The sequence below is a fragment of the Homo sapiens genome, chromosome 20 (genome assembly GCF_000001405.40).
Source record: "Homo sapiens chromosome 20, GRCh38.p14 Primary Assembly".
Taxonomy (NCBI): Eukaryota; Metazoa; Chordata; class Mammalia; order Primates; family Hominidae; genus Homo; species Homo sapiens.
Genome location: NC_000020.11, coordinates 56,924,257 through 56,930,272, shown reverse-complemented (window position 1 = coordinate 56,930,272; position 6,016 = coordinate 56,924,257). Strand labels below are relative to the sequence as shown.

Below are 6,016 nucleotides of genomic sequence, written 5' to 3'. Positions count from 1 at the left end.
AAAGAAATTATAAAAAATAATTAGTGATAACTTTTTCCCTTTAGACACTAAAGTGGCATTTAACTTGTTTTCTTGAGGGTAGATGAGAACCCCTTTGCTCGCTTCACCCTCCTCCCCCTTTGTCCCTTCATCCTTCAACCTGAGAAATTAAAGCTTCGGTGAGTGCGGTGAGAATCCGAGTATAAATGCCTTTCTGAATAGTCGGCAATCGAAACAAATAAATCCGCTCCCCATTACCCCGTGTAGTTGGTTTTTCTTTCTGTTTACTGTATTTTCTACTTAAATGAAGGCCATAATGATACACTCGCTATTCTTGTCATTTTTGCTCTGTTTGATGCTTAATGACGTGCTCCTTATACATGGCATTAAAAAACATTCCTTGTCTGTCATGGACGCCTGGAGGCATGAGCAACCTTGCTCAGCACTCAAAAGTAATTAAAGACAATCAACCAAAAATGCAAGGGGTTTGTGGGACCCCAGATTCCAAACTCCACCTACGTACAGCGGGAGCCAAGCGTCCTGCAAGGAGGAGCTATTTACATTTAACTCTCTGATGCATCGCAGCTTCATTTTGCTCAGACTCACCACAGCTTGCTGAAGGCACAAACACCTGAGAACTTCATCTAAGAGCTAATGGACAGTTTCCTTTCAAGAGTTAGGGGGAAAAAAAGACCTCCCAGCCTTGAACACCAGAACACTTTTGTCCCCCTTTGGCTGTTTGCAGGTCATTTATTTCCAGTTTCTTAAAAATATTTATAGGCAACAAGGAAGAGGAGATGAAAATTGTAAGGTAAAAATTTTCTTAAACCAATGCAAATGTTATTTTTCTGAAACAACAGTCAATGAAGTTAGATTAAAATCTTGTTGTAGCAGAAATACATTTTCATGTCACTAAAGTCTTTACAAATGTTCAAATGCAGAATAATGTTCCAGATTCGTGTCAATATCCAAAATGATGACCAAGAATCATTTTCCTTGGGGTGAAAAAAGCTGCTTACTCTGAGAAGGAAATGAGTGAGAATCGTGTATTCACAGAAAGTGCTGCTGGTTGGGCCAGGCTGACAAAATCGTGTAGAGAGTAACTTGGAAAAGTGAGAAATTAAGTGCTCCAAATTCCTCCTTGGATGTGAATTTAAAAGGAAGCAAAATGCAGAGAGGCCCCCCCAAAATACAAAAGATTGAGTAGTCTTTTTAGCAGGTTAGCAGCTGAAATGCCCAATGTCCCTTAGTCTTGCAGGAAATCACAGCTGAAAGAAAATCTTTTATACCAGACCCTTTTCGCGGGCTTTACAAGCAGCTGTGGAAAAAGACAAAGAATTGAAGGACTGTCGTGTATGCAAAAGTTTTGCTCAAATATCATTCAAATAGCAGGGCATGGTGGCTCACGCCTGTAATCCCAGGCCTTTGGGAGGCCCAGGTGGATGGATCACCCGAGGTCAGGAGTTCGAGACCAGCCTGGCAAACATGGCGAAAGCCCGTCTCTACTAAAAATACAAAAAAATTAGCCGGGCATGGTGGCAGGCACCTGTCATCCCAGCTACTCGGGAAGCTGAGGCACAACAATCACTTGAACCCGGGAGGCAGAGGTTGAAGTGAGCCGAGATCGTGCCACTGCACTCTAGCCTGGGGACAGAGCGGGACTCTATCTCAAACACCAACAACAACAACAAAATAAACCATTCAAATATGTAATTTCATTCATTTCCAATGCAATCAGCCCTGTTTATTACTTGGGCAGGATTGAGGTGGGAGGTGGGGAAGGCATGGGAATTTCAAGGAGGCTTTGGATGACATCTGGGAATGTGGGGATCTTGCTGCCTTCTGTAGTTAAATATGCTTAAGCAGGTGCATCGTTCGGAGTGGACAGGTCCTGTCCGGGGTTTGACCTCTCAAAGCAGCCAGGTGGTGTCCCTGCTGCTGGGTCCCCAGGGGACCCTTGGCCCTTGGGGTAAAGTGACTGTCGGCGGCAGGGTGACGCCAGGCAAAGGAAGGGCCCCCCCACCCTCCCCCATCCCCACCAGGGCACAGGCCCTCCCTCATTCCTGCAGGGTAAACACAACCTACCTGCCCTTCCTTCTCATGGGGAAGACATTCCATGGGGCCGGCCTCCCTTAGAATTTCTAACTCCTGGCTCAGTGGGGGTTTGGAGCCCAATCATTCCACTCTCCCTTGGAGCTTAGTTTCCAGCAAAACTCATATAGGCTGTTTAGCAATCAGAAATGTCTTGAGACCATTTCCCCAGATCTGGTTGAGGAATGAAAAAGTTGACAAGACATTGAAGGGGCAAGTGTGTGGGGAAACAGGCACTCTGAAACCCGATTTGGGGGAGTGCAAATTGGAAGGGTTTCTTTGGAAGGCAGTTTGGCAACAGTGACCAAGACTGAATGCACTTTCAGCCCAGTTTCTGTGGTAGTGATTTAACAACAGACCTGGTTTACCTGGGGGAGAAGACCATTGTAGGAGCAAAAGACCGAGCCCAACCGTTTTATTAGCAAGGGGTTAAACTGTGGTTCATTCGCACAAAGGAATACTGATTCAGATATTTTAAGTGAAAAGGGCTAAATGCAGGACAATGTGTCCAGCATGTAGCTTACTGGGTAAAGAGAGAGATGCCTACATATGTACAGCTTGTTGATGTGTGCAAAGAACTTTTACGGGGGGAGATGTAAGAAAATGGTAGAAATGGTTGCCTCTGGGAAGAAGAATCTTGAAGTGGGAGCGGGGATGAGGTAGGGGAGAAACTTTTCACTGTTTTTGTTTGGGAAAAAAATGTCTACTATATACCTATATTGTTTTATTAAAACTGAGTAGAATTTTTAGATGCTTAAATACCACTCAATTCCACTTTTGTTTTCTGTCTGAAGATGAATTTATCCTGCAGACTCGATGCCACTTGCACATCACATGGGCAGCAGCGCGTTCTGAAGCACGGCTTGCATTTTCTTACGCTTGACAATTTCATTTCATCGACTTTGCGATGTCATTTGCTGTGCCGAGTAGTGTTTCCAAATGTGGCTTTGGGACCTCCAGGTAACCTAGTGCTCAACCTGTGTGCAAATGTGTGTGTGGATCTGTGAGAGGGTTATGACTCCAGGGAAGCAATCAAGATGAAGCTATTTGTAATTGGGAGCTATGAAGAAGAGACTTCACCGAATGAAGAAAAGAGTGGATAAAATAAAATCAGAGACACCCCCCTTTCCCTACAGTGACCCCAATTTCTGCAAAAAGAAGGAAGTTTCTTAATTGGAAAGGATGAGTTTAAATCGCAAGAAGGAGGAGAGAATTGGCAGCTAGGTGCATTTTTATGAATATGCATATGTGATCAGGGCTAGATTATTGACTAGGTTGGATTCCAGCCCTAAATATAGGATATATAAGAGAAATGGCATCCTTTACCCTTGAAATATTAATTATTCATCTTAAGGAGATCATTGGAAAAGTGTACGAAGAGTATATATTTGTAATATATGTACAAACATATTCTTAGCAATATTGTTTTAAAGGGGGAAAAGCTGGAAACAACCTAAATGTCCATCAGTGGGGGATTGCTTAATTAAATAAGGACAAATCCATGCTGCAGAACACTAAGCAGGCATTCATGGGAGAATATACATAGATCTTTACTGATACAGAATAATGTCAGTGAGTGTAGGTTAAATCAACTTTCAAATGTCATGTATCATTTGATCCCTCTCATAAAAGCAAAGCCATGTAATGTGATAGGTGACATGTGATGTATAGTATATAATCTTATAAAGGGAACATACACACGTCCTAACTGATGATGAAGAATGATTACTCTCTCCTTACTCTGTTAGTATAATTTAAGTTTTCTAGAATGCAAGGATGAAAGAGTATTACCTTCCTTTTACTCTGTTAGTATAATTTTTCTAGAATGCCCACTATTTGCTTCAGAAAGAGAGTGATTTTTTTATCCACAAGAGAAAGGAAAAGATATTCCACCAGTGGGGGAAGGGCAAAGAACAGGAGACCTAATTGTCTGTACACACTTCTATATTCATTTTTTACCGATTAATTCATTCAACAAATACTTATTGAATTCTAGTACCATGTACAATGTGCTAAAAAAGACCCAGGCTAACTGTGTGTAAGTCCTAGAAGCTGAAAAAAAAATCAGAGTTCTCACGTCTGCAAAATAATTCGCCATGAACGCATTTGCTGCTGTTCTGGTGGAAGTATGACAGCCCAGGGCTGAGCCTTGTAAACGTGCCGGCTTCGCAGGCCAGCAGCGGTCGGAGACCGGCAAGCTCCTACGGTGCAGCCTCATCATCGATCATTCTTTCGACATATCAAATATCCAGTTCTCTTTTTCCTCTTCTCCCCTCCTGCAAAATATTGGAGGGTAGGGGCTGCTCTGCGGGTGCCCTTGGCCGGGGCCAAGTCGGCTTCTGGGGAAACGCACAGGTGCCGGGAGGGGAGCCAAGCGCGAGACGGTTTGACTCTTGTCATTAAGACAAGAAGAGGTTTGGAAAAAATGCAAAACCACCGTTCTCTTGGCTGCATCGGGAGACGGGCGGCTGCCCATCGCCTCGCACACGCGGGTGCGCTCGGAGCCCGTCCGCGTAGACACGCCTGTGCGCGGGGCGGGGGTCCCCGGCGCGGCCCGGAGCGGGTCCATCTGCCCGGCGAGGGCTTCCGTCCCGCCAGCCGCTGACCTCCAATCTGTCACTCTCTCGGCTGAAAGGCGGCCGCGGGAAAGGACGCCTCCCGCTCCGCCTATTCAAAGCGTGAATGCAAAGTGGTCCAAGTTGACCCGCCGCCAGTCTCTGCGGCTCCGAGTCGGCGAGGCACCCTACAGTTTACACAGCCCGGCCTCAATGCAGCCTCCAGGCGCCCCATTCAGGCGGGCCTGCATGCAAAAGAGCCGGCCATTAGATCATCGTAATTATCCCATTGACATCGCCCAGGGCCCCCGTGGGGCACGGGAGCGCATCAAACGCGTCTCTAATGAGGCGCTCCGGGCCCATTGTGCGCGCCGTCGCCCCCCGCGCCCGCCGCCGCTCCGGCCGCAGACAGGCGGTCCCTTTCAGGCGCATTCACTCCCCCTGACCCCCGACCCCCAGGGTTATGACATCAGCAGCCCTGATTTGTGACCATTTTTATTGGCACACACTCAACGCTTGTTTCCTGTGTTTAACTCTGGGCCCCCCTCCCACTCCGCCCTCCTCCCCTTTTTAGGCGAAACTGATTGGAATCTAATAGGCGTAGGCCCCGCACTACAAAGTGAGCCTGCAGCGTTCTCACAGCGCGCCCGGGCCCTTCTGCCAATAACCGCGACCAGGCTTCATTATCTAGGTGCACGGATCCGCTAATCACCGCCGCGGCGAACAATCCCAACCAGATGTCCACAACTTTATGAGTTTTAATTAAAATGTTCTACTTATTTTTTATCAATGCACTTTTTTTTTCCCCTGAAATGAAAAAGATGTTACTTCCTAGGAGTGTTTTGCAAATTACGCCTTCATAAGGGTGATTAAGAGACGCTTATTTGGAACTAATCGGGTTCCCCCCCCTTTCCCTTTTAACATGCTGCTGCTAAATTCTTTTTTAAAAAAGAATTAATTAAACTCGAGGTTTAAAAAGATTCTGTTTTCTTATGTCACAACAACTCCGTATAGCAGGGAAACTGTGTACGTTTCTTGCTTCGGATGCGAAAGATGGCAATTTACACGAATTCCTTAATTTCAAACGTGGCTTGACAGAAAAACTCGACCGAGCGTTTTCGGTTTTCTTGCGTCCTCCAATAGCATTTTCAGTTCGCGTTTCTTTCCAAAGTGTTTGACTCCCTGAAGGACGTCATTGTTGCTCCTGACTGCAAGTTTATGAAAGATCCACTTTAAACAGAGCAGTTGGGCTTTTTAAAGTATAAACGTGATACTCTCCTTAAAACTTCTTCAGCACATATGGTTTTTAATGTAATTTTGTTTAACCAAACCATAATTTAATTTGCCATAAAGCTGAAATGAAAGGACATTACAAACGAGCTTTTGACTTG

The 6,016-nt window shown here is 45.4% G+C and overlaps 1 annotated feature.

Moving 5' to 3' along the window:
* Positions 4,616–5,465: an enhancer, noted in NCBI's record as "OCT4-NANOG-H3K27ac-H3K4me1 hESC enhancer chr20:55499864-55500713 (GRCh37/hg19 assembly coordinates)". NCBI's record gives its function as "activates a minimal SCP1, AML or CMV promoter by ChIP-STARR-seq in naive and primed H9 embryonic stem cells {active_cell/tissue: H9 hESC(naive and primed)}" and the evidence as "EXISTENCE:reporter gene assay evidence [ECO:0000049][PMID:30033119]".